Genomic DNA, 27,470 nt, shown 5'->3' on the forward strand with positions numbered 1-27,470 from the left:
TCCCTGTAAGGAGCTACTAGAGACGCTGAGGCAGGAGAATCGCTTGAACCCTGGAGGCGGAGGTTGCAGTGAGGCGAGATGGCGCCACTGCACTCCAGCCTGGGCGACAGAGCGAAACTGTCTCAAAAAAAAAAAAAAAAAAAAAGTAGGGGATTAGAGCTGGCCACGGCTTCCCCAGAAACCTGCAGTTACTGGAGTAGGAAGAGGCCTCGGAGAATCCCTGGAAGCATCTACCTAAAAGACGCGAGGAAACCCCCAAAGGCCACAGGCACCTGCACCAAACCCTGAGTGCCGCAGGAAGCTCGCGAGGCTTCCAAAGCGCATGCGCAGGTCACGGTACGGGCACGTGCGGCGCGCCAGCAAAACCACGCAGGCGTCTTGTCGCTTCCGCCTCGAGCGTGTGGCGGGATTGCGGAAGCCCTCCACAGTTCATAACCGTTGGCTGGTTATGAACCGTTCATAACGGGCGTTAATAACCATACCCTGTTAGACTAAGCATGGTCCACCCGCGAATCCTCTACAGAGATGGCCAAGCGCTGGGGTCGTGGCTGCGTCCTCTAGGCCAGGTGAGAATTTACAACCCACCCTCGGCCACTGTTGTGCTGTGGCCGCTGATGATTAAGCATGAGGAACTCAGAAACTCTGAACCTTCTGACAAACGGGTTCTCCCCTGCCCACCGCGGTGCCCCAAACCCAGCAGGACAGATTGGTTTACATGGTGGGGCATTGGGGAGGACCCAGAGCTTTCAATAAGGGAAGAAATGATGTGGGGAGGGACAGTAAATCAAAGTAGGGGATTAGGCCGGGCGCTGTGGCTCACGTCTGTAATCCCAGCCCTTTGGGAGGCTGAGGCAGATGGATCTCTCGAGACTGGGAGTTCTAGACCAGCCTGGCCAACATGGCGAAACCCCATCTCTACTAAAAATACGAAAATTAGCCGGGCGTGGTGGCGCGCGCCTGTAATTCCAGCTACTAGAGAGGCTGAGGCAGGAGAATCGCTTGAACCCTGGAGGCAGAGGTTGCAATGAGGCAAGATGGCGCCACTGCACTCCAGCCTGGGCTACAGAGCGAGACTGTCTCAAAAAAAAAAAAAAAAAAAAGTAGGGGATTAGAGCTGGCCACAGCTTCCCCAGTAACCTGCAGTTACTGGAGCAGGAAGGGGCCTCGGAGAATCCCTGGAAGCATCTCAACAGAATCCAGAGGGGACAAGAAAAGAGGAGGGATACGTCTGTCGCATCCTTCCCTTCTCATTGATCCAAGTTTGCACTAGTGGTGTGAGCCCTCCTTATCTTCCAGGCCTTGGTGGGCAGCTGTTGACATGTCCAGAACCCCAGGAAGTGCTGAAGGTACCTGCAGTTCAGGCCCCATGGAAGCCCAGACCTCCTTCACCCTTCGGGGACACTGAAATTGGCCAAATGTTTAGGCCATGAGGATGGCTGCTGAGTAAGCCCATAATCCCTACATCGGACACAAGTAAGCAGGTGAAGGCCTACAGGTAGCAGGTAGGGGCCAGTGAATCTTGGAAGCAAAGATTTGGGGGTCAAGAACAGCAGGGAGCTCTGGGCCCCCATCCTAGCTTCAACCAGAGCAGCTCCAGGACTCCTGGCTTTCCATATGGGCTTCTGGATAAATTTTAGGTACTCCTGAGGCTGAATAAGCTGGAAAGCCTCTGCCATCACCCAACTCCGTTATTTTAGAGGAGGAACAGGAGCCAAAATGGGCAGTGACTTGTCTGAGGCCTTGCCAGCTTGAAGAAGGAAATGTCCGCTGAACCCAACAGTGGCCCTGGTAAGGCCTGGTGCATTGCAAGTTACCGGATGAAAATGGTGACTGGCCGGGTGCAGTGGCTCATGCCTGTAATCCCAGCCAAGGCGGGCAAATCACTTGAGATCAGGAGTTTGAGACCAGCCTGGCCAACATGGTGAAACCCTGTCTTTACCAAAAAATACAAAAATTAGCTGGGCATGGTGGCACGCACCTGTAGTCCCAGCTACTTGGGAGGCTGAGAGGGGAGAATCGCTGGAACCCAGGAGGTGAAGGTTGCAATGAGCCGAGACTGTGCCACTGCACTCCAGCCTGGGTGACAGAGCAAGAGTCCGTCACAAAACAAACAAAAACAGAAACAACCCCAAATGTCCGTAAGTAGGAGACAATATATCCAACACATGAAATGCTCTGTGGTTCATGAGAATAAAGAAGACCCATATGGGTTATTCTGAAGCAGGTTCCACTACACTAAGCTGCACTAAGTAGTTTTAACAGGCAGAAATGGAACAGAGTGGAAGTGCGTGCACTTAGGAGGGATACTCTCCAGGGAGAATTCAGGGATTGGGTGGGAGAAGGGAGCCTTGCTTTTCATGGTCCAGCCTTTTAGACGGTTTTAATGTTTACCATGTGCATGTTTCACTTAAAAACCAAACACCCTAGGTGAGGCATGGTGGCTCACACTGTAATCCCAGCACTCTGGGAGGCCGAGGCAGGTGGATCACTTGAGCTCAGGAGTTTGAGACCATCCTAAGCAACATGACGAAACTCTACCAAAAATACAAAAAAAATTCGCCAGGCATGATGGTGTGTGCCTGTGGTTCCAGCTACCTGGGAGGCTAAGGTGGGAGATCACTTGAGCCTGGAAGGCAGATGTATCAGTGAGCCAAGATCGTGCCACTGCACTCCAGCCTAGGTGACCAGGGCGAGACCCCCATCTCAAACAAAACACCCTAGAGTCCCCACCCCTCTCGTTCTTTAAACACCAGCATTGCTGCCCTTCACTTTCTTGCAGCCTTGTGCAAAGGACCTTCTCACCACAGATCAGCCAGACCATCTTCCTCCTTCCAAGTCATCAAAGAGTTCCAAGCTGGTCACCTGTCCCTTGATGTTCCCAGGAAACCAGGAAAGAGGACCCCTGCATTTTATCTTCCCATCCAGAGTGGCAGGATCTCTGCCTGGGAAACAGGCTTCATTCAGCACAGCTGTGGTAGCATTAACAAAGCAAAGTGGGCACATGTAGAAGTTGAAGCTAAAACATTCAAGAACTCCAGTCTGTTTCTGTGGATGTTAAGGGGGTGAAGATAAAACAATGGAGGTGATGAGGAGGAATAACTTGAAGACAGTTTAAAGCCACAGTGATACAAAGAATGAAGAGAAGGAAGGTGCTGGATTTTACTAAGAAAACAGACTGAGTTCAGGAGTCTCACCAGTAGAACTTTATAGTATTGCGTTTCGATTACATGTGTGTGAATTTTAAAAACTGATTACCCTCCAGTAAAAATGTGGAACCAATTTGCATTTGGATTAAAACATTAGGTTTGGGGACAAAAGTGGACCCCATGCTGCCTGAGATGAAGAGAGAGAGCAGGATGGCAGAGGAATCACCAGCTCAAGAAACCCCAAGACTTGGACAGTCTTCCAGCAGAAGAGGCCAGGGTCTCTCAGTGTACTACTCCAAACAGGCCTCTCCTAGAGATGTAGTCTGGGAAGGTCCAAAACCCACCAGACAGGCACATCCAGTGGGGAAAAGACTTCCCATTCCAGTGTGGCCTGCATCCCTCACCTCTGCTTCCCAGTCTTCTGCTGACCTCAGAGGAGCAGGGTGGCCATTGCTGATCTGGGTTAGGGAGATGCCAGAAACACACCCAGGTTTGAACCACAGGTTAGTGGTACAAAGTCACAGTCCTTGTGCCTTCAGAAAACCCAGAGGCCCCAAATACGAGTGGGAAGAGAGTTGGGAAAAACTGAACCAGACTCTTCCAATGGCCATTAAAGAGAAAATTCAGCAACGCTTGCCTTTGTCTTTGACCCTGAGAAGTTAAGGGACACAGATTGTGGCGCCGTGATGGAACATGGAGGGAAGGCATGGTGTGCTTCCTGCAGAGATGCCTCTGGAGTCCCTGTGGCCACGGGATCTCACTGGCCCCCTCTTCAGGCACCTTGATGGGGCTCAGTGGGGCCAGGCCGAAGGGTGGAAGTAGAAAAGCATCAACAGGCTGTCCAGATCAATTGGCACCATCCAAGGCCCTGCTGCACCCACACATGGAGGTCACCAGCTCAGCCCCAGGGGTTCTTTCACACACAAGCTCCTTCCCTAAGGAGTCCTGTGGGGTTCCACACTCAGTGTGCTGCCCAAGTCAGAGATTTACCACAGATCTGTCTCCCCCTCAACCTGGACTCAAGTTACTGTGGTGAGAAACCTCACTGTCCATGGTTAACTGAAGAAATCCCTCCTTCAGAAAGAACTTGAGTAGTAGATGAGGTGGTTAGACAGGATCTTTTTCCCTCAAGCTGTTTGGACGCCACAGCCAGGACCAACTCTGACAGCTGCGAGAGAGAGAGCCCCTCCAATGTGGAACCTCCTACACAGCCCCCCTTTTGGGTCCCTGGATATGAGCCCCCAGCAGGACCACCACTCTAGGGGGAAGTCTCCCTCCCATCCCTCAGATCCCCACATTGTTCCTCCTGTAGGAGAAAAGTCAGCCCTGCCCCTGGAGCTTCTCCAAGATGGCACTGGACTCGCCGTTATCTTGAGGAGCCAGGAGCTGAAATGGCTCCGGCTTAGCAACCCAGTATGGCCAAAGTGGAAAGGTTCTCTGTCCTTTGCAGTCACCAAAAAAAAAAAAAAAAAAAAAAAAAAAAAAAAAAAAGTATGGTCTCACAGGCACAGCATCTTCTTTTAAAAAATAAATATTTATAAACTTAAGGAAGATTCAAAGAATCAGGGTATCTTTTCCTCCAAAAACACAAATGTCCCGTGTAAGTCAAACCAAGGTGCGACCACCAACCCATGAATGAAGTCCCCTCCCCCTGCAGCTACAGGGTTGAGGGGCAGGTGGGCAGGGGAGCTGCTCTCTCTCCTGCCTTCAGTCCCCCTTGGTGATGAGGTCCTCAATGTAGGCGTCCAGCTCATCATCTGTGTTGATGTCTATGTCCTGGAATAGAGCAGGGTAGGGATCAACTGGGGGCCAGAAAGTGATTGGGGGGCTCACCTTTCCACCCTTCTCTCAGCTCCTGGGATGGAGCCCAGAGTCCTCTCCCTGACCTCCCACCCCGCCCTGGATGTCAGGCTTCTGTCCTGTCTTAATCACTCTCCCCTCCCTCATCTATTGTGCACAGATGATGCCCAGATTTCCTACGCCCACCCTGCCTCTACCCCATGTTCCCAATTGTCTTAGATGTATATTTCCCTCAGATACTACAAATATGCCCACTTCTCTCCCTTCTCTGTCACTGCCCAAGGTCCAGGCCACCACTGTCTCAGACAACTGTGGGAGCCTCCTCACAGGAGGCTCTGGTTCTAACTTTGACCCCTCCAGGCCTCCTCCAACCAAGCAGGTACATGTCTGAGACTGAAAACTGCATCATGCCACACCCCTCCAGTGATCTCCACTGTTCTCGGGATCAAACCCCACAACTTTCAAGCCCTGCCTCTGCCCCTACCGCCCCCAAGTCCCTGCTCAGGCCTCAAGTCCTGCTCTTCTTCCTTCTGCCTGGAATGCTCGTGTCACACTCTTTGCATGACTGGCTTCCAGTGTCTCCAAATGCCTAAGCCCCTGAACACCCTAGTCAAGTGGCCTCCCCACACTTTACTGTATCTCCTTATGAACCACCATCAGTAATTCTCTCTCTTCCACCAGACTGGCAGGCTGTGAGAGCAGGAACCTTCTCTGGCTTGTCTTGTTCATTCTGTATCCACAGGACAGGCACAGAGCAGGCCCTCATGCTTATTGCCTGGATGAAGGGCCAACAGGCTAAGGGGTGCTCCCCACTTCTGGGCTACCCAATCCCATCTGGGCGTCATGTGGAAAAGAACTTCGTTTTTATGGCTTGGAGGGTTCTCAAACCAGGTTGTACGTCGGAATGTCTAAAGGGAAAAAGCCTGGTTCTATGGGTCTGGCTGGGCTGAGGACCAGGCAGCCACACCATCTCAAGCCCTCCTGCCAGGGTGCTGTGCAGCCAGGGTGAGAACCATAGATTCCTGTGAGTGGATAGATTCTTGTGAGAACAGGAACAGGGCCCAGGCCCCCCTCCCTGAGAGACCAGGTGGTCCAGCTGCAACAGGAAGGCTGCCGGGCTCACCTCCTGCACCTTTTGCAGGAGTGCCACGATGTTGGTCCTCAGCTTCTGCAGCTTCTCCTCCGTCTCGCGGAGCTTCCTCTCGGAGGTGCGCAGGCTTTCCTCGGAGGCCTTGGCCCGGGAGTCAGCACGGCTCTGGTAGGAATTGCACAGGTTTTGGAGCCCTACTTCATATTGCTTGAAGTACTCCTTCTGTTGGGAGCAGAGCAAGAGGGAGAGTGTGTAAGTTCACAGGGGTCCCCAGGGCCCTTCTAGGCTGACACGGGTGTCTCCAGCCCGCTTTACCCAAGGATGCCTGGTCTGAAGGAACATCTTAGATACAAAGGGCAAACAGCCTCTTTACGTCCAGAGTAGAGAGACATCAATGCCTATCTTGTGGGGCTGCCACAAGGAAGAAGACAATTAGCACACAGGTGAAGCACTCAGCACAGTGCTCTGGCAGACAGCAGGCCGTGAGGACGCGTGAGGGGCGATTCTTACCATTCCAAGTGACAAAAAAGGATGACAGAATCGCTCTTCCATGCTCAATCATAACCTGTCTGACTTCAGTACAGCCCTTTCAACCACCCACTTCCAAGACATACCCAACAATGTCAGCGCTCATGTCAGTTCTCTTTCCACCTACCAACCAACAGCAGATATCTCCAGATCTGTGGAGTAGTATATACTTCTACAGCATCAGAGCTTTTTACTATTTTCCCTGAGTACCTGAAACCTCCAGGGGGAGAGGTAGGAAGGGAAACAAGCAGTTTTTCTAGTGGCTTTTCAGACTTATAAAAGGGAGCAGAATACTTGTTTCAAATGAAATGTCACATGGAATCTCAGTGTGAAAAACAATGTTAAGTAGTATCTCTTTAGGTTCAATTTATTTTCCAAGTTCAAATTTATAACATGACTTACTCGTAAATCACTGAGAATCATGAGGCCACTGTGATGAACACACACGCCACAACCAGCAGGTGCTAGCTGGCTGCTGCAGTCTTATCAACTCTGGTGTTTACTTCTGTAAAGATGCATTAGCTGCCTAGCCTGGAGAGGCTTCTAGATGCCATTTTTAAAAACTGTTACTGGCAAGTATTTAACTGTGTCATTCACCTTATCCTACTAAACCAAGATAGCAAGAGAAACTTCTAGTTCTACACAAAACAGTAATTGCCTTGGCAGCACAAAATAAATACTGGAGCAATCTCCAAAGTATTAAAATTCAGTATACAACATCTTGAAAGTAGACATGGTTTGTAATAATTTTTTCTTAATTATTTTGAGGTAACTGTAGATTCACATATAATTGTTACATTAGTTTTTTTGAAAAAATGATACTTTAATATTGCAGGGCTCCTGAGGCTCTATGGAACTCCTGATCCATATGGTATAAAGGACGTAACTGACAAGGACATAATGAACAGTAGACTTTGTTTTATCCCTGATGCTAAAAAAATAGTTTGAGTGATGGCCAGGCGTGGTGCCTCACACCTGTAATCCCAGCACTTTGGGAGGCCGAGGCAGGTGGATCACGAGGTCAGGAGATCGAGACCATCCTGGCTAACACGGTGAAACCCCATCTCTACTAAAAATATAAAAAATTAGCCAGGCGTGGTGGCGGGTGCCTGTAGTCCCAGCTACTCAGGAGGCTGAGGCAGGAGGCTGAGGCAGGAGAATGGTGTGAACCCGGGAGGCAGAGCTGGCAGTGAGCCGAGATTGCGCCACTGCACTCTAGTCTGGGCAACAGAACGAGACTCTGTCTCAAAAAAAAAAATAGTTTGAGTGATTTTAGACATTACAATTAGCAGGACAAAGGTGATACACTGGTATTATACCTCCTTGTACAAAAAGAAGCTAATATACTTTTTTTTTGACACAGTCTCGCTCTGTCACCCAGGCTGGAGTCCAGTGGCACAATTTCAGCTTACTACAACCTCTGCCTTTCCCCGGGTTCAAGCGATTTTCATGCCTCGGCCTCCCAAGTAGCTGGGATTACAGGCATGCACCACAACATCTGGCTAATATTTTTTGTACGTTGTAGTAGAGATGGGGTTTCACCATATTGGCCAGGCTGGTCTCAAACTCCTGGCCTCAAGTGATCCACCTTCCTCAGCCTCCCAAAGTGCTGGGATTACAGGCCTGAGCCTCCACACCCAGCCTAATATACTATTTTTAGACACTCATGCACTTTGTTTGGGCCCAGGCATTCAAGCCCACTGCAGAGATCCTGCTGCACCCAGGCTCTACTCTGAGTTTGGCAATAACCTTAAACCAAAATCAACAAATCTGACAAGATGCCAGGCCAACCTAGCCACCCTATTAGCTGCTTGTTCCTCCTGGGATTTGCAGAGAGCACCTGCAGCCTAAACAAGGACAAAAGTTGAAGCATGGATCTTTCTGTGCAGCAGCTGTGATTTCTGCACCTTCTAGCTCCCTCGCCGAGCACCACTCCCTCATATCTTGCTGGCAGAGCAAGGCAGCATCGTGAGCAGAGCAAGTCCTAAGAAGTACATGGGTTCAAATCTGGTCTCTGTCACTGACCAACAGACTCTTTACCTTTCTGAGCCTTAGTTTCTTCAACTCCTGCTTCATTTCACATTTTAAAAAGTAGAATAAAGACAAACTCCATGTTTTTATCTCTGGCAAACTTTATCAAGCACACAACTGCCCCACGAGGACCCGACATCTTGAATATACTAATCCTGCAGTTTCCATTCCCATTGTCTTTTCTCTAGAACCTCTTTCCTAGAAAACTTAGCTATTCCTATAATAGAAAAATCATCCCACTTCATGTGGACAATTCCCAGAGCCCCATCTCCAGCCCTGGCCTCCCCCTCCCTCCAAGTGCCAGTCCTTGATCTCCACGTGCACAATGCACATCACCAGAAACGTAGTGAGGGCACTTCTGGTGCCACATAAACCTCCACTCGTCACCTTCATTGCACTCACCCATTTTTCTCTCCTAGTTAATAGCTTTGTCATCAACCTCCAATTCCCACAGACCTGAGTCACTTGCCTACAATCCATGATCAGTCTCCTGACGACCTCTGACACAGCCCTTTCACCCCCAAGCCCACTGCCACCACGCTGACTCCTGTTCCCATTCCCTCACCTCTGACCTTTTACATAGGACCTGCCTCCTCGCCCCTGCATCTCCCATCCACCCATTCTACCCAAACACGCTGCTACCCAAATCACCCTCTTAGGGGAAGGGGCAGCAGATTACAGCCCCTGGGCCGAATCAGCCTGCCAAGTGTTTTTGTAAATAAAGCTTTGTGGGAACACAGCACATCCATTCCTTTACATACTGTCTGTGGTTGCTTTCGTGCTATAATGGCAGAGTTGCCACAGAGACTGTATAGCCTGTGAACCTGAAATTACTTGCCAACTGGCCCTCTACAGAAAAAAATGTGTGGACCTCTGCCCTAGACATGGTTTGGATGACAGTTCCTTCAGCTCAAAACTTTTGCAGGCTGTCCTCTTCATACAGAGTTTAAGCCAGTATGACTTACACTGGGGATTCAAGACACATCAGATCCTGACTTTCAGGCCCCTTGACCCTAAATGCTCACCACACAGCCTGTTGCCTGGACCCCACTCCCAGAGCCTTTGCTCACAGAAGCCCCCACCTCAAACACTCCTTTTCACTTACACAGGCAGGCACTTGGCAAAATGCACATTTTCTTCCAACTCAGTTGCTCTCTCTGCCCCCCAGGCCACCACAGCCCTCCATAGCCTTTCTATCCACTTTCTCAGCACTCGCTGCTCCTGCCCCCATGTCCAGCTACCCGGTAACAACTCAGTCTCTACTGAATCTTGAGCCTCTTGAAGGCAAGACTCTCTTTTGCTGCTCACTATGAGGTCCAGCAGACACCTGCTTGGGCAAGGCACCCCTTCAGCATTTGCTGGGTTAAGTAAGATCCAATGCTTATGTCCACACATCACAAGTTTCTCTATACCTCCTTCTGAGAGTCAAGTTCTATGCACTTCGAGCCTCAGCTCTTCACTGTTGCCTGGGACAGGTTTACTCCCTCTACTGGGGCAGAAGAAAGTGGGTATGCTTGTCATAAAATGTCAAACTACACCTGCTATCCCTAAGGGATGACTCAACTCCTAGCACCTGTGGTGGGAAGGGGTTGGCTTTCTGCACACCAGAGTCATATCCAGCTAAGCCAATTTTTTTCCCACATCATAAACTCTCCTCTTCTTTCAGCAGGAGAGAGGCTGGCTGAGATGGAGCACACAGCTGAGAGCTAGCAACTGCAACAAGCGTAACAATCATAATCACAACAGTTACAACAAATGCAGGGGCAGGGGTGGGGGAATGAAGAGTGTGGAATCGAAGGTCAGGCCAGACTCACCAGAGGAAAAGATATTAGCTCATCTGAATTCATAGCACTCAGCTGCTTCTTGGAGATGGGGAAACTTGGAGGCAGGAAGTACCGTAAACAATTCCTAAAGAAGGCAGGGACAGTAATTCAGAATGGCATGGAGCAGGCAGAGAGCTGCTGCTGGCCCTGGGGTGGGAAGACAAAAGACACATGTACCGGAGGATCTGGACAAGCAGGTCGATGGTCTCGTGATTGGTGCTCAGGGCAGTGGTGTCAGGCTCAATGCGGAGGCATTCGGAAGTGGAGGGCTCTGCGACAGCTATGGCCTGCTGGGCCACAGGGCCCACCTCCTCCTCCCCGCCCTCCTGTTGTGTATCAAGGCTCTGATGTTCCGGAGAAGGGGGTTTCATCAGCCGCACATCCTCACTGCCTTTCTCCACCCTGTGGAAGACACACAGCTTATGTCATGTCTGACCCGGGCTCCCAGGATGGGCTGCTGGCAGGGAGGCCGGGGATACCTCCTTCGAGGAACCACTGCTCCTCCCTGATTGGGGCATTACCAGCGGTCTCTTGGTGTCGTGTCTGTGGGCACGTAGTCAAACTTCACCTTCCACCGCACCACATGCTTGCCCACCTCCACGGCTGTGACACGGCCCGTGTACCACTCCCTGTTCACACGCACCTCCACGTGCAGCCCTTTATCTGACAATGTAGACAGAGGTGCGAGTCAGAAAACTAGCGTAGAGTCCCTCACTTGGCCTGGGCCACATCGAGAAAGGCAGTCCCCAGGGTTTGGAGGACAGGAACACTTAGGTGCTTGCCCCCACTACACCAGGGACACAGAGACCAGGGACCAGCCACCATGGTCTCCTTCCCCATCTGCTATGAGGGTGCCAAAAAGCAGGAGAACAAGTGACCGCCAGGAGTGAACACCAAGGAATTAGTGTTAAAAATAACCACAAAGGGGTGATCCCTTCAGAATTCTGCTTGGGATTAGACTTGGATCCACTGCTGCACAAGAGCCCAGACCCAGGACAGATTCAATGAGCCTTTGGTAAATTGCTGCTGGTAAGGGGCTCCACTTCCACTCCCACTCCCACCCCCGCCACAGGCTGCCAAGTCACTCCCCCAGCTCACCTTTCTGAGCTCTCTTGAGGTCAGCCGAGTCCTCTTCCCCAGCACTGTCTGAGAGCTGCGTGGAGAGCAGTCTATTAGAGGCATCCCCAGTGCCCCCCAAGAGCAGACTTGTGCCTTACTGGCCACCCGGGGTCATCAGCCATCATCTTCACGACTTCCTGTGCTACAGTTTAAATCACCAAGCCCCGTTGAGAGCCACACTCCAAAATCACTGTCCAAGGTACCTACCCTTCTGCTACCTTTACGAACAAGACAGCAGGCAAGGGACATGTGTTTCAAGCCTCACTGATGTACGTCTGTGTGACTTCAGGCCTGTGGTTAAGCCAGAAGCCAGTCTCACTCAAGACCCTACCTGGCACCATGTTTAGTCACTTGTGTAACTGAGAGTCCTTGAGAGATCACTAGGCTTCTGGAAGGCTCATGACACGAATATAAACAGAGTTGGTGCAGACTGCTGGTGGGGGGGGTAGACTGCTGGTGGGTTGTGTAGACTGCTGGTGGATGGTATAGACTGCTGATGGGGGGTGCAGACTGCTGGTGGGGGCTGCAGGCCCTAGAGAGAGAGGCTTTGAGAACCTCACCTCAACCACTCACCTCATTCGAGTCCTTCTTTTCCTCCTTCACAACAAATCTGCCCCGCTTGCACCTCTCCTTCCTCCTCTCAGCTTCCTCCTCAACTTCTTCCTCATCAGAAACTGCGACACTCCGCTTCCGACTAGGGGTAGCCTAGAGCAAGAGGAGCGTGAGGATGTGAGGGGCCCTGTTCAGCCTCTAAGGAGCAGGAAGATTTCATCTAGCCTAAAGGAGTCGTTCCAAGAGGAGCTGTACTCCCTGCAATCCCTGCCTGACATTACTTGGAATGTACACAGGCAACCCACTGGCCCCTGCGCCATAAGGATTTTTGCTCAAAGCTATCATAGGAGAAGCTTCTCAATTCCCTTCCCACCTTAGTCTACCTGGCCAACTAGCTGTCACCTCCCCAAGAACCACCGACCACTGCCGCAGCCCACTCAGGCTATCTGTCACCAGATGACTGACCTAAGCCCACACTTCGAGAGCCAGTGGAGGTGACTCAAGTTTGTGGCAGACCAAAACTCGGAGGCAACAGTGAAGAGCTCGCTGTACAGGCAACCGATGTGCTGTCTGGCCCCAACAAGTCCGTTCAGCTATCAAGGCTTCCCGTCCTCAGGGGCAGCAGCAAAGCTTTAGATTCAGTATCTTCCGAAGGCTCCCCCAGTACAGCTGTGACACTGCACAATTCCATTCCTACACTACTGACACTGGGCTGGGGTATTAAAGAGGACAAGCGTCTCACCGGGGAGAGTTTGATGGGTGACTCTGTCTTCTTCACCACTGGAGTCTTGATGACTTTGGGAGAAGGAACCTCCCGAGGGCTCTTGGAGTTGGGCAGTAAAGATGGTGACAGTTGCTGCACCAGAGGGGCAGGTCGGGATGCAGTCTTGACGAGAGTGTTGGCAGGCTTTCGGGGTGCCTCAGGTGGCTGGAGCAGCCTAGATGTGCTGGCCTCCTCCCGGGCTGCCAAAGCAGGGAGCTTTGGGGTACTGCTGATGACAGGAGCCTTTCGGGGCTGGCTGGCTGGTCTAGGAGTTGGCAAAGAAGGGGGTCTGCTGGGGGCGTTCCTGATCACAGCAGGTAAAGGGGGCGACCGAGGACGCTGAGGTCTACGCACAGGTTCCTAAAAAAAGGCCCACAGAGAGTGAGAACACTGATCCTAGCATGAGACACCTGAGGAAAAGCCCTTCCCAGGCCCCTGGACTTCACCTCAGTGGAAGGTCTGGTGGTCACTTCCAAGGGCAATTTCTTCAGGTCTGCTTGGGAGCGGATGGGTGTGGTTTTCTGCAAGGCAAACATCATGATGAAGTTGTTTGCATATTTTAGTATACTTGAGCAAACTTTTTGGATAGTGTCTGGAACCAGGGACAAAAAAAATAGAAAACCTGAGCCATAGTCCTACTCTTACAAACCTCCTGTTCTCATTGGGGAGACACAAAATACATAAATACTCAACTATCAGCAAATTACAGGAAACTGTGTGATTAATCCAGCAACTGAGAGACTGGCAAAAAGTGTCAATAGACTAAATTCCTATAAAAGGAACCCAAAAAGGTAGAAAGGGCCCGAAGGATAGGGAAAACCTGGATGAAGCCAGAAAGGAAAGGTGGGATTTAGCAGCTAGGGAGGCATATAAAACATCATGGGTTAGTGAGAGCACATCTGCACAGACACAGAAGCCAAAAAGGGAAATGGTTGTGTACTAAATATGATAAACAGATGATATCACAGACATATCTAGAAAAAAACATAGAAAAAATAAAAATGTAAGTGAATAAGCAGTTTAAAAGGAATAAAAGTGGACACATGAAAAATTATGCAATCTTAGAAATATTAAGGAAATTAAATTATAAAACATGCATCTTTGCCTATGAAATTTGCAACAACATTTAAAAATAATGCTCTCATATACTGCTGGTAAATAATAGAAATTAACACATCTCTGGAGGGTACTTTAGAAATAGTTGCAAAAAGCCATAGAATTTTACAATGGACCTTTTAAGTCCTTTAATTTCACTTCTAGAAAGTCATCAAAACAATTATGTGTATGTGTATGTATTAATATAAAACATATACATGGCATTATCTCCCTATTTCTATTAAAAAATATATGTGTGTTATGTGTAGGTATTCATGAGTTCATGACAAGTTGGAAGGATGTATGGTTAATGATGGTTACCTCTAAGGCAGAATTTTTATTTTCTAGAGTTTTATACATTCTAAATGAATTGGACCACTTTGAAGTATATAAGCATTTTTTCTTAAGAATAAGCAAGGTGTTATTCTTAAAATAACACTGTTGGCAAATAGTACACGTGGACCTGGAGGTTGGGGTTGGAAAGCTTTGGCAAACAACGCGGGTGAGTGGAGGGTAAAACTGAGCCTGAGGGAACAGGAAAGCTACTGAAGGTTCCTGTCACAGGCAGAGCCCTGACACAGGCTGGCTTTGCCCACTGACCATGACCCACGTACCTGAAGGGCCTCCAGCTTCTCCTGCTGCTGGCGAATTTTCTCTGTCAGTTGTTTCTGCTTCTCTTCCTGCGTCTTCATGTCCTTTCTGAATGTTCCCAGGGGAACCTTCTGCTTTTGTTCAGAAGCCTCACACCTGTAGAGACAAGGTACTACAGAGGTCGTGGCAAACAGAGCGCCAAGCTCGGCAAGGACCTTTCTCTTCAGCCAGTCTACACTGTCTGTCACAAGAGCAACCACCTCAGAGTTCCCAATGCACAGAATTAATCTTATACACTGCAGGACATACATCTATTTTTATTTCTTGGGCAGTTATTAGGTGTGGCAAGACAGAGATGTAAGGTATGTGCACTGACCTCAAGAAACACAGTGAGGGGCAGGGGAGAAAAGTACCCACAATCCCCTTGTTAGACAATGTGCTCACCGGTCCTGTTCAGGATCAGGGTTCATGGAGCAAACCCAGGTGTCAGGGTAATCTTTTTCCACAGAACTCAGCTGGAAGGGGAGGGTTCTCCATTTCAGACACAAATCTGCAGAGAGCAAAAAAACCCCACATATCAGCCACGCCCACCAACTCTATCTGTAATCCGGGTTCCTCACAGGCCCACCACAATGATGCCCCAGACTTTGTAGGCAAAGATCTTCACTCGGGCTCCAACTCTGCCTATCCTTAGAGAATACTAATTCTTCTCAGGGACACTGATTCCAGGAAGGATGGAAACTTAATATGCTGGACTCTTAACACCCCCAGCCCCTCTCCCTTTTTTATCAAGATCCTGGCTCAGTCATCCACGCACACCAGAAACCATGTGGTACCAAACCAAGTGAGCCTGGCCTGGCTGCAGCTGGAGAGGCCTGGGAGGACAGATGACCTTCTTTCTCACTCAAGAGGGACAGGTGAAACTCAGCAAAGCCTCAAGACTGAGCTCACAGGGCCATCGTCAAACAGACTTGGATCCCTAGGGGACTGTAAGTCCATGAATGTCAGTCAAGTTAGGAGGCTGGCAGGAAGATAGAGAAAAGAGGCTTGTGGGCTGATGGAAATGAGTCGGGGGGGTCCAACCACCCAACTCACCGCACTGGATGGTGGTGGGGATTTCCATAGCTCTCCGGCGTTTGTAACGCAGCTCACTGGATGGGGGCTGGTTCCAGTTGGCAGAGAGGTAGCCAAACTCATCCCAGAACTTGATGATTCCCCTCTGGGCTGGAAAGCAAACACCGATACATCATGTTAGGAGCCAGCCTCTCTCTCTCCCTACATTCAGGTGAAGAGAAAAGGCAGAGGCCCAGCAGCCCAGCCCCATTACCGATGGCAATATCCTTCCAATACTGCGCCAGGTGCTCCCCCATTGCTCGGAGCAGGTGCCGGTACTCCTTGGCATCAGCAAAGTCCTGTTTGTTGTGTGTAGGCTCCAGGACCAGGTAGGGCACATCAACAACCCCAACAACCCCGCCACATGCCCTACAGGGAGAAAGAGAACAAGCTCTGTCACCCCACTGGCAACGCCCTCCTGCCAACTATCCTGGGCTAGACAGCTCTCTGTGGGTAGTACTCACATGCCCCCTTCCAGCTGTGGGCCCACTTTCTCATACATTTTGATCAGTCGGCTACAGTTGTAGATGAACATGCCATCCAGATCCCGGTGTTCAATGTTGACACCAAAAACAAAATTCAGTTCCTTAGGTTCTTTAAGTGCTCTAAGAAGACAAAAAAACTCAAGCAGATCTACACATCGGCACACAAGCACCATAGTGTTTAAGATGTGTTAAGCTTAAGCTTAAACTTGAAACATGTTAAGCCAAAAGTTTTGTATCTCTATTTGATGTGTAACCTGTTAGACTTGATATGGACATGCACTGGGCACCAACTCAAAGCATCCCTAATTAAAAACATGAGTGTGGCTTTTTGGCAACAGGGATGGTTGCCAAACCATTCATATTCATTAAATATGAATTGTTTATTACGAAGCTGCTGCAAATCTGTGCAAAGACAATTATATGTTGGAATAAACACCAGGTTATCGTCATACCTTCCCCAAAATTCCACTAGTATGATAGTAAATTATTATAATTTTTTTTTGAGACATAGTCTTGCTCTGTCGCCCAGGCTGGAGTGCAGTGGTGCGATCTCCGCTCACTGCAATCTCCGCACCCTGCATTCACACCATTCTCCTGCCTCAGCCTCCCAAGTAGCTGGGACTACAGGTGCCCGCCACCATGCCCGGCTAATTTTTTGTATTTTTAGTAGAGACAGGGTTTCACTGTGTTAGCCAGGATGGTCTCGATCTCCTGACCTCGTGATCCACCCACCTCAGCCTCCCAAAGTGCTGGGATTACAGGCGTGAGCCACCGTGCCCGGCCAATTATTATTATTTTAAAAGGCAAAAATTCACAAGAATAATAAGCATGTGCAATAAGACACCATCATGTGATTACTATCAACAAAAACTTAGAGCTGAAAAGCAGATGGATGAGGAGTGGACTGACTTGGAGAGAAAAAACCTGAAACCCATGCCTGTGCCAAGGAGGCCAACAAGAGGCAAAACAGTGAATCAAGCCACAGAGTCCAAAGAGGATCCAGACATGGAGGTGGGACAAGCAGGAAACTTAATGATCCAGGACAAATGCTGGTTCTAAATGCAAAAGTATACAACACTCAATCTCCAGCATTATTCTACATACATAACCACTGAGGAGAAAATGAATATGAAAAAATATATATGTAACATAAAAAATAGGGTCGTATCACCAGGTGGTAGAAGTATAAGGGAGTTTAAAAATGTTACTCCTTAAACATTTTATATTTTTCAAGTTTCATACAATGAGCATTTTATACATCCTTTAAATGAAAAGAAAGAAAGAAAAAGGGAAGAAAAGGTAAGACAGTGCCAAAGGATGGTTTTGGTGCTCGAGCCGAGGTTGTCAGCCCTGCCCTGTCTTTATGACTCAAAAAAGGGCTGAGAGCTAGGATTAAGACTTCCCTCCTGCAGGAGGCATTTGACAAGCATTTGGCATTAAAACAAAGCAGTCTTGGTGACAGAATAGCAACCTGTCAATAATCAGTCCAAAAGCTACGTCAGTTTAAAAGATCCAAGGACAGGCCTGGCACTCACCGCTGCTTGGCCTCCTTGATCCTCTTCTTGACATCGGCTTCTCTGCGCAGAGTGATGGCTCTGTTCTGGACCTGTCGCAACATCACCTGCACACATTGACATCAGGTGAGGGGAGGTGGCACTCTAGGCCACAGCAGGGAATATTGAAACATTACATCTAAGACATCTCAATTTATCTCAAAGATGTAAAACCACACCTGGAAATTTACTTCTTTCTACAGAAAACAGCCCTCACTGGGGACAAACTCAAAAGCTGTGTTTTACTTGACCAGGCTCATGGGACATGGGCTCCTAGTGCCAGAAACGCTGGAGAACAGCCGCCTGGGCCGGGACCTTACCCTGGAGTCCCGCGTGAGGTCTCCACCTAGGCGTACTTCTAATGTCCGAGCTTTGCTCTCTGCCTCCCGCGCCTTCTCTTCAGCTGAAACCCAGAAGAGAACATGGTAAGAAATGCAAAGGTTCAAAACTCTTGGTCATCCCTCCTGGATCCACAGTACTGGACACGAAGTGTGTACACCACCAAGGAAAAAAAGAGTAGGGGGAGCTATGGCTGGTGAGCAATGTGAGGGCAGCCTCTGTGCCTGGACGGCAGTCAGTCACAGAAGGAAAATCTGGCATTCAAACCTATCACGGAGGCCCCAAGGAAACTTTACAAATGAACCAGAACAGGTTTAAAAAAAAAAAAAAAACACCTAAGGCAACCAGTTGAACACTCAGCTTGAGCTGGAAGCTAAAGAAGTCTTCAGCCAATCACTCTCCAACAAGCAGCCGAGAAACCCTGAGAAACCCTGAACAGCGAGAGAGCCCCTGAGATGTTTGCCCTGAAGTCAGGAAAAGCAATTTCACAAGTATTTGCACCAGAGAACTCAGTGGGATTCTTCAATTGGGATAAGCCAAAGAGCTGACACTTTTAGGCCCTATAAATGGCAGAAGAAGAGAAAGTGGAGTGTAGAAAGAAGAAATGCTGAGGGAGTTGGCATGTAGTGAAAGGGGCTGCAAAGGAACTGAACTATGCTTCAGGAGACCAGCCTTGTCCCTGAGTTGTGGACTCAGCCTTTTCCTGGAACCCCACTTTGCCCACAAGCAGCATACCCCAGATGCACACCCCCCCAACTCCTGCACCCAGAGTGGCATTACCAATCCTTGCTACGTGCTCTGCTTTCTTCACCTCCTGCTCCGCACGGGTCTTGAAACGGCTTGACGTGTACTTGTACATCCTGATCAGTAGAAAAAGCAAGCTGATGGCCCACGCAGCAGTGGGGCAGGTGGCACACCCAAGCACAGGAAGCACCCTGCCTTCCTGCCTCCTCCCAAGCTGTGCTGTCCTGGCCCCTCATGATGAGACAAATCCAAGCTCAATTCAGCAAAAAGGTGCAGTTCCTTATTCCACTTGCCCTTAGCCTCCTGCTGTCTTTGATAAGCAACCTCACCATTCACCAGGGTTGTCATTCATCCCACAGCAGAAACAAACCTCAGGAGTAAGCCAAGCCCACTGCTTTCCTATATAGTGTCTAAAGGCCCCTTGGCCCTAAAGCCAAGAGACTCAGACAGCTCACTGAGCCAGGCAGGGCACCCTCCCTGTCACAGAGGCACACATACTCAATGAGCTTAGCCAGCCACCTCCACAGCTGATCTGTCCCTCCTCTAGGACCCAGAACTGACCCTGTGACCAATCACAGGCAACTTAAAGTCCCAAACGTAGTCAGCACTGCCAGAGCCTCTTATACAGCATCCCTCTAACAATGCCCCAGAGAAACGCGGCCACATCCTCGACCCATGGGAGACAGCAGGCCAAGGGGCACTGGCCCCTACCTGGGCTTGTACAGGCAGCAGGAGAGCCTCTTGGTCTGCACCTTGTGCCCATGGATGAAGATCCTCATCCGGGGATCAATATAGAGCACAGCGGCATAGGCACGGAACGAGCGCCGCTCTGGCTTCCTGGAGAGGGCAAAAACAGAGAAGTGCTGTCACCTGCTCCACAACAGGCCTGACCAAGGGCACAACATCCTCTCTGCAGGCTCTCCACCTTTCCATGTTAGGTACTGACTTCTGCTGCTGCCCTGAACTGGTGCTCCCTTAGTGTGAGCACCACATCCCGCCCCTCTCACGTCCTCAGCACAGGCACCCCACAGGCAACTGAGCTGGCCCTACATACTACCCTACCACAGAACACTGGGCAATGAATGTGCTCTCCCCTCTTTCCCTGAAGCCATCTCCTGAGAGCACAAACGCCAGTTCCAGGGCCTCCCTCCCTTCCCAGCCACACTCACGTGCCCTCTGGGGACGTCTCTGCCATCTGGATATCTCTTGGATTTGAGATTATGTCTAGTTCTGGCTCTCCATTATCCATGAGTTTGAGATTGAAGATGATCACCAATGTTCCTGAGAAACAGAAATCTTTTGTCCTGCCAGATCCCCCGGCCCACCCCCACACTACTTGTGATTCTGGAGCTCCCAGATTCTAGGGGCTACAGGCTCAAAGCCTACTTACCGCTGTCCCCAGGAATCTTCATAAACTGGGTCATCACTTCCTCCTCAGTGCGGAATGGAGAGTACTTATAGATGAGTTCTGTCTCAATGGCAAATTTCTCTACATTGTCTGTGACAGGTTCCCGGGTCCGAGCATTCCAGGTGGGCAGTGGGACTATCACCTGTGGAGTAAACATGAGCAGGCACTTTAAGGGAAGCCCCAGAACAGCCTTCCTCCCAAATGTGCATCTCTCTTGTCCCTCCCCACAGCAGCTCCACACTGCCCTGTAGGTGAGGCCCAAGCTCCACAGCCTGGCACCAGAGGCTCTGTGAGCTTCAGGGCTTCTGCCTCTTCCCAAGACTCAGCCACACAAGACTACTTCCTTCAGGAGATGTTGGTTTATGTGCTTAGGGTCTCTGCATGAGAAGTTCCCTGCTTGGGACGTCCCTGGTCATTTTCTTAATTTGGTAAAAATTCTACTCTTACCACTAGGGAAAATATATTTGCAATTATCTAGTGAATCAGTAAATACACATAACATAACCTAAAACTCAGCAATTCCACTCCTAGGTACATACCCTAGGAGAAACTTTTGTACATATGTACCAGTAAACATGTACAAAAATAACCCAGGCCTGGTGCAGTGGCTCATGTCTGTAATCCCAGCACTTTGGGAGGCTGAGGTGGATGGACTGCCTGAGCTCAGGAGTTTGAGACCAGTCTGGGCAACATGGTGAATCCCGGTCTCCACTAAAATACAAAAAATTAGCCGGGCGTGGCAGCGTGCGTCTGTAGCCCCAGCTACTCAGGAGGCTGAGACAGGAGAATTGCTTGAATCTGGGAGGCGGAGGTTGCAGTGAGCTGAGATCGTGCCACTGCACTCCAGCCTGGGCAACAGAGCAAGACTCCATCTCAAAAATAAATAAATAAATAAAAATAACCCAAATATCCATTCTAGAGTGGCCAAATTAAACTGTACAATGGAACACTATATAGTGATACAAATGAACTAACCACTACTAGCATCAACATGGATGAACAACATAAACACAGTGTTATATGAAATAGGATACAAAAAATACCTACAGTAAGAGTCCATTTCTAAAAAATTCACAAATAGGCAAAACTAAACTATTATTTAAAAATGCATACAAGGGTGACAAACTATAGTGAAAAAGAAGGAAATCATTATCACAAAAGTTACCTGAAGGCAGTTCCTTCGGGGGCACAAGAAGAAATATGACTGATGAGGGCACACAGGACACTTCTAACATCAGTCTGTGATGGTGGCAACACAGGTGTTGCCTTTAAAATTGTCCTCTGAACTGCATAAATATTTCAATACACTCTTCCATTTATGTGAAATTTAATTTAAATAATGTCTAAGTGATGTTTTAAAAAAATCCTACTCTTTCTTCAAAAACCCAACCTCATATGCCACTTCCCCAGAGGCTCCTCCCTCGGTGGTTATGAGGCCGCAGCCCTTGCAGAGCCCTGCAGATGGCTGCCTGAAGGATTTCCTCTGCAGAGCAGGCCAGGCTAAGCACCTCAGGGGTTCAAACCCTTAGGAAAAAGGGACTCTGTAATCTTAACAAGTGCTGGGGTGACAAACTGTTAAGAGTTCTGAGACATTTTGCTGGGTTTTTTTATTTTATTTTTTTTGAGACGGAGTCTTGCTCTTGTTGCCCAGGCTGGAGTGCGATGGCATGATCTCAGCTCAATGCAACCTCCACCAATGGCACGATCTCGGCTCACTGCAACCTCCGCCTCCTGGGTTCAAGTGATTCTCCTGCCTCAGCCTCTCAAGTAGCTGGGACTAGGCGTACACTGCCATGCCCAGCTAATTTTTCTATTTTTAGTAGAGACGGGGTTTCACCATATTGGTCAGGATGGTCTTGACCACATGATCTGCCCGCCTCAGCCTCCCAAAGTGCTGGGATTATAGGCGTGAGCCACCAGGCCCGGCCCATTTTGCTGGTTTCTAAGAAGCTTTGTGCTGCAACTATTCAACCCAAGGGCTGGTCTGGACACATTCCTCCTCAACTGAAAATGATCTTATTTTGAAATCTTGGCTGAGTTTGCACTAGAGTACAATCCAAAATAGCGACCTTCTAGCACCAAGTAAGGAAAAAATCTCAACCTAGCCTCTCCACCACGGGAACCGAGTTCCATTTGTGTTCTATAAACCTGTACCTCACTACGCCTCCCATTCTTCACAGCCATCCCAGGTGACAATGGCATCACTTTAAACATTGGCTTTCACTCCCATGGGCACCCCATCCCTCCCCTCAGGAACACTTCTCCTTTAGTTCAATGGTACACTTGCCCAGTTTTCTTCCTACCTTTCTGGCTACCCCTTTGTCCCTCTGGCCCCCTTCTCCTCTCCCCGACCTTTAGATATTGACATGCTCTAGGTCCCAGATCCTCTTCTCACTCTATTCTCTCCATTAGGTGACCTCGTTTGCTACCAAGAATGCTGAAGCCCCCAGACTTCCCCCAAATGCCAGACCCAGACTGCACTTTGCATGTCCAGAAGAAACTTACACTCTTCCCCTCCATACTTCCCCTCTTCATTCTTCCCAATTCCAGAGACCCCACTCCCCAACTGCCACAGCAGAACCTATGAGTCATCCATGACTCCCCTGCTTCGCTTTCGCCTTCTACTAATCAATCAATCACCAAATCTGTGGGTCCCACATCCTAAAGAGATGGAAACTCCATGTATTTCTCTCACCTCCCTTGGGCGAGTACCGCCAAGCTACAGAGCCTGGGCCTCTCAACTGGAACACTCCAACACTCACCCTAACCTTTCCAACCCAATCACCACACAATCGCTACATGGACCTTCTTAAAAGAATCTGATACTGGCACATCCTTGCTTAATAAAGCCCCACACATTCATCAAGGCCCCGAGGTCAAGCCTAACCTGGCCCTCTCTGATCTCCAAAGGCCACCACCTTTCTCCAGGTGGCCCTGCAGCCAAGTCCCCTCCCACAGCCCTCAGGGCCTTAAGCAGGCTGCTTCTACTGACTTCCATACCCTCCTGTCACCATCCTCAGTCCTGTATCAGGAAACATTCCTGAAAACCCCAACCCAGGCTATATTTTCCTATCCTACTTCTCCTAGAAGCCTGCTCTTTCCAGCTGCCACGCTTCTCTCACTCAAGTATGCAGAATGAACTCACATACCACACCAAAAAGGCAGACAAACCCACTGGCTTGCTACGTAATGACGGAAGGCCTACCATTCCCTACCTGAACAAGTTTGCTATGATTAAGGCTCAGATCTAAACAGAACCAGAACAAATTTAATCACAGCTAATCAACACAGATGAATTAAATTGTAAGTCTGAATTCAATTACCTGCTTCTGTGGAAGTTGCGGATTTCTTTCCACAGAACCTCTTAGCCCCCCTTCTTTCAAGCCCTGGCCTCCATGTCTTACATAGGAAAGGAGATAAGAGTCCAGTCTGAGGCTGGGTAGTCCACAGAGCTGCCCTGATCTCCCACAATGAGGGGGCATAGACCTCACCAGAAACAGCTCTGCAGACATCTGAGCCACAAGGAGAATCGGCCAAATGTGTGTTTAGCTTACATAGTCAATTACTAAAATGATTTAAACTCAGAATATTCTGGATTCATTAGTCCTTCCTTCCAGCATAGCAGTAATCACTGGGGCTGTGTAGCAGCCACTCCCAAGACGAGACCCACAGCATCAGCTCTGTTTTCCTGTTCTCCATACACTCACCTGCTTTACTACCTGCCCAGGCTCTCTCTAGGTATCTGAGTCATAGTTTCTGACATAGAGTAACACATTTCTTCAAAAGGAAAATGAGCTCATAGCACATTCCACAAAATCACCACCAAATAGGAAACACCATGATCAGGGAAGCCCAAAATACTCCCCCTGATAAAACAATGTTCCATGGTAACACTCCCCCCAAAATGGAATTCAAGTGGCAGATCTAGAGGAGCTGCAAATCCAACTCTTAATTCCTGCCACTTGACAGTCTCATTCTCGGAAACAGTTGTTCTCTGAAGTGCTCTGAGATTTTGCTTCCTCTCACATTAAAGTTATCTACCTTAACCCCTCAACCAATTCATCCAGCCAGCTAACTGCATAACAATTAGGGGGAATGTGCTCCAATCCTGCAACCCCAAAGAGTCTAGCATTGCAAATAACCTACGAAAACCGCCTGGGCAGACTCAGGAAATGAGGACTGGTGATGCAGACCACGATGATGGGACCTACTTCATCAATGCCTTCTTCCTCATGAAACGTGCGAGACAGGAAGAGGCAGGTCATGGTGTCTTCCTTCTTGGTGAACAGGATAAAATCCTTCCCAATGCGCATTGAGCCCCTGAAAAGGAAACAGAAATGGGTGTTATTCTCCCAGGAGTCAAAAGCTCATCTGCAAAAGAAATCAATCCACTCTGGACATGATTGAAAGTGCCACTGGAGGGCTCTCCTAAAGGCCCCCCCAGGTCCCAGGACTGTGTGCTGAGTTCCACAGCCCTCGTTCCCTCTCCATCCCCCAACACTCCTTCCTCTGCTTTTCCACAGGCCTGTAACTCCTTAGTCTTTACTTACAACGTTCTCAACCACACCATACAGGGTTCTCTCACCACCCTTCTAGGGCGGGCTCACGGCAGACCACCAGCCCCAGGTTAGTCTCACTCCCCCCACAACGCTGAAGAGTAACCCTGCTGTCTTTGAGCTCTTGGTTCATCCCAGACGCATGAGAGGTGCTGTGCCCTCTGACTGTACCACCATCAGACTTTAGTAGCTGGTACCCTCAACACGTCATCTTCCATGCTGACCACCCCCAGTTCCCACCGTGTCCTTCCTCAGCTGACACAAACTCCCCTCCATTGACGAAACGGCAGCAGCACTGTTAAGTGAAAAGCCCAGTGCCTATACTCACAAGCCCGAGAAAACATCAGTATGAACCCAAGGCGCAGTAATACAGAGGGGCTAATAAAATATAATTCTTGACCACAGGATTCAAGGATGCCTGTAATTAGCTCATGTCCAATAACTGGAGCTATCTCCTGTCCCAGAAGTGTTTTGCCACCTCAAGCTCATTATGACACAGGCAGCTCCCTGCTTTTGGATGCAACTGGTTTCTGGGAACTGTGCCTTGAGGCTGATTTCCAAAAGGCAAAAGTCTGAATGGATTCAACTGCTTCCTTCCTCTGTTTGGCCACATTAAGCTGGCTAAGAAGCAGGCAGGGACAGGCCTTTCCAGGCAACGCAGGGCAGGGCAGAAGTGTGAAGCACCAGCAGGGGGACCGCCCTCTGAACAATGGGGCTGTTCAGCTCCTTTCTTCCAGCAGCTTCTGGAGCTTTATGGCTATTATCTCATTAGTCTTTATAACACCCCAGGGAGATGATGGAGGTGGAAAGCCTCATTACTCTCTTCTGTGTACCAATACAAACCAGACTGGCATGCCAAGCACACAAATGAATGTCATGCCCCATTTCCCCAAACACTCAGGAAAACTCCCAGGACACTATTCAAAGATACCCTGGGGGCTGCCAAGTCCTCGTTCTCCTCCTCCAGTACCCAAAGTGCTGGCAATGCTCCTTGCCCTGAAAATTTCACACACCACCTCCTCCTCCTTCCCTAAAGCGTATGGGGAGCAAGTAAGGCACGTTATCTTGCCTTCTGTCAAAGCATGCCCTTGCCCTAATTTGGCAAAAACTCTCACTTTGTGCCTCTATCTTCCTTCTGTCTTTGATTCTGACTTTAGCCTTTGAATAGCAAAAGCCCCAAATATCACTTCTCTAACTGGCTTCCTTGCTTCTCAGCCCTATTCTCCCCACAAATCACCTTCTCCTGAAACTTATTCAACTTCTGAATTGGTTTCAAGATGATTTTACTGTCTACTCTGAACACTAGATGGCTCCATCTCAATGGGACCTTCACAAAAGTCTTCCACTGAAATACGCTAATAACACTCTCAACTTCTATACGCTTTCCTTCCCAGTCTGCTAACCACTTTCAGAGTCACATTTCATTTGCTTCTGAACCTCACTCTATAAATGTCAGAGATTAGAACCCCATTTTCTAGAGTAAGAAACAGACATTCAGGGAGGTGAAATGGCTTGCCTGAGGCCATTAAGAAACAGACATTCAGAGAGGTGAAATGGCTTGCCTGAGGCCACAGAACTGACAGAACCAGGTAGGAGGAGGCTGATCTACAATCTAGATGAAAAGTCAGGGCTTCCCCTGATTCTAGGAGACTTCAGTTTTGGGGGATTTAGATAACCTGCATTAGAATCATATGATTACAGGTGATTCATTTCATCTGTGAAAAACACATTCCTAGCCCCTACCCAGATCCACTGAATCAGGCCAGCAATCTGCCATGGAAACATCAAAGGAGGAGAAATAAAGGCAGAAACCAGGCTCTCACAGCAATGATAGCATGTAATTCTTAACCTACTTGGTATGCATTATCATCTCAATTTACAAAGGAGGAAGCTGAGGCTTAGAGACGTAGTAGCGGAAGTGAGATTTGAACCTTAGCTTGTCATTTAAGTGAAATGCACAGCAGCTCCATTTTGCAGTCAGAAAGACCTGGTTCCTACCCTAGCGCTCTACACATAGGCATTTTTAATGCCTTTGGGAAAGTAACTTCACCCTTATAAACCTCAATTTCTTCATCTGAAAATAATAGTACCTACAACCTCACAGGGCTATCATGAGGATTAAATGAGATTATTCGTGTGCCTGGCACATGGTAAGTGTCTGTTATTACCATTTGGTTCCTGCCCTGAAAGACAAATCACAAAGTCCGGATACCAGGTCCTGATTTCTTCGGAAGTACTCTCTTTCTTCTCCATACACCCAAAGCACAACTGCACACAAGGCCCAACTGATGCTGCTGACTGATCAAACCACCACCCTCCCTCAAACAAAACAACACATTTCCACGACAAGACTGGAAACGTGACTCACAATTCCATTTGCACAAACTCCAATTCCACTAAATCTTATTCCATCCAAAGGTATGTACAGCTGGAAGTGAGCATTTCAGAAATAGAAACCTTTCTCTTGGGGCTTCACTCAAAACCAGAACAACACATTCCAAACACTAACCAACTGGGAACTAAGGCTAAGAAAAAGTCCCATGGGATTTGAAGACATTAGGTAGGTCCCTGCTATAAGGGCCTTGCAGTACATTCAGCATCCTCTGGGACGGAGGGCTCACATCTCTCTTCCTTACCCTGGATCCCCAGTGCCTGGCACAAAGCATGACATGCAGCAGGTGCTCAGGGAACACTGCTGCACAGTAAGGTGACCCCTTCATCATCTCAGATACAT

The 27,470-nt window shown here is 49.0% G+C and overlaps 1 protein-coding gene and 1 long non-coding RNA gene across 8 annotated transcripts in view, besides 1 other annotated feature; one reads left to right on the plus strand and one right to left on the minus strand.

The window, feature by feature from the left end:
* The first annotated feature begins 358 nt into the window (after positions 1 to 358).
* MORC2-AS1 (MORC2 antisense RNA 1) lies at positions 359 to 4,705 on the plus strand. The gene is made up of 2 exons (NR_026920.1): positions 359 to 566; positions 2,780 to 4,705. It is a non-coding gene; the product is annotated as an MORC2 antisense RNA 1 (long non-coding RNA).
* Positions 3,181 to 27,470, minus strand: part of MORC2 (MORC family CW-type zinc finger 2) — a 43,645-nt gene continuing 19,355 nt past the window's right edge. For 5 of the 7 annotated variants that reach the window (NM_001303256.3, XM_011530004.3, XM_047441203.1 and 2 more), the window contains 21 exons: positions 24,392 to 24,500; positions 20,163 to 20,322; positions 19,942 to 20,053; positions 19,484 to 19,609; positions 18,809 to 18,888; positions 18,010 to 18,092; positions 17,672 to 17,757; positions 16,116 to 16,256; positions 15,866 to 16,020; positions 15,634 to 15,762; positions 14,983 to 15,088; positions 14,562 to 14,694; positions 13,299 to 13,373; positions 12,832 to 13,212; positions 12,111 to 12,242; positions 11,517 to 11,571; positions 10,940 to 11,081; positions 10,596 to 10,820; positions 10,410 to 10,503; positions 6,070 to 6,258; positions 3,181 to 4,922 (listed from right to left, as the gene is read on the minus strand). In NM_001303256.3, coding sequence (NP_001290185.1) covers positions 4,854 to 4,922; positions 6,070 to 6,258; positions 10,410 to 10,503; positions 10,596 to 10,820; positions 10,940 to 11,081; positions 11,517 to 11,571; positions 12,111 to 12,242; positions 12,832 to 13,212; positions 13,299 to 13,373; positions 14,562 to 14,694; positions 14,983 to 15,088; positions 15,634 to 15,762; positions 15,866 to 16,020; positions 16,116 to 16,256; positions 17,672 to 17,757; positions 18,010 to 18,092; positions 18,809 to 18,888; positions 19,484 to 19,609; positions 19,942 to 20,053; positions 20,163 to 20,322; positions 24,392 to 24,500 — 2,782 coding nt within the window. In that variant the 3' untranslated portion in view covers positions 3,181 to 4,853. The remainder of the gene's footprint in view (positions 4,923 to 6,069; positions 6,259 to 10,409; positions 10,504 to 10,595; positions 10,821 to 10,939; positions 11,082 to 11,516; positions 11,572 to 12,110; positions 12,243 to 12,831; positions 13,213 to 13,298; positions 13,374 to 14,561; positions 14,695 to 14,982; positions 15,089 to 15,633; positions 15,763 to 15,865; positions 16,021 to 16,115; positions 16,257 to 17,671; positions 17,758 to 18,009; positions 18,093 to 18,808; positions 18,889 to 19,483; positions 19,610 to 19,941; positions 20,054 to 20,162; positions 20,323 to 24,391; positions 24,501 to 27,470) is intronic. The other 2 variants (XM_017028667.3, NM_001303257.2) reach the window with 1 other exon arrangement.
* Positions 17,650 to 17,865: a silencer, noted in NCBI's record as "fragment chr22:31335586-31335801 (GRCh37/hg19 assembly coordinates)". NCBI's record gives its function as "represses an EF-1alpha promoter that drives an FKBP-Casp9 reporter gene in an ReSE screen in phorbol 12-myristate 13-acetate-treated (for megakaryocytic differentiation) K562 erythroleukemia cells {active_cell/tissue: K562(+PMA)}" and the evidence as "EXISTENCE:reporter gene assay evidence [ECO:0000049][PMID:32094911]".

This window comes from Homo sapiens, chromosome 22 (genome assembly GCF_000001405.40).
Source record: "Homo sapiens chromosome 22, GRCh38.p14 Primary Assembly".
NCBI classification, from domain to species: Eukaryota; Metazoa; Chordata; class Mammalia; order Primates; family Hominidae; genus Homo; species Homo sapiens.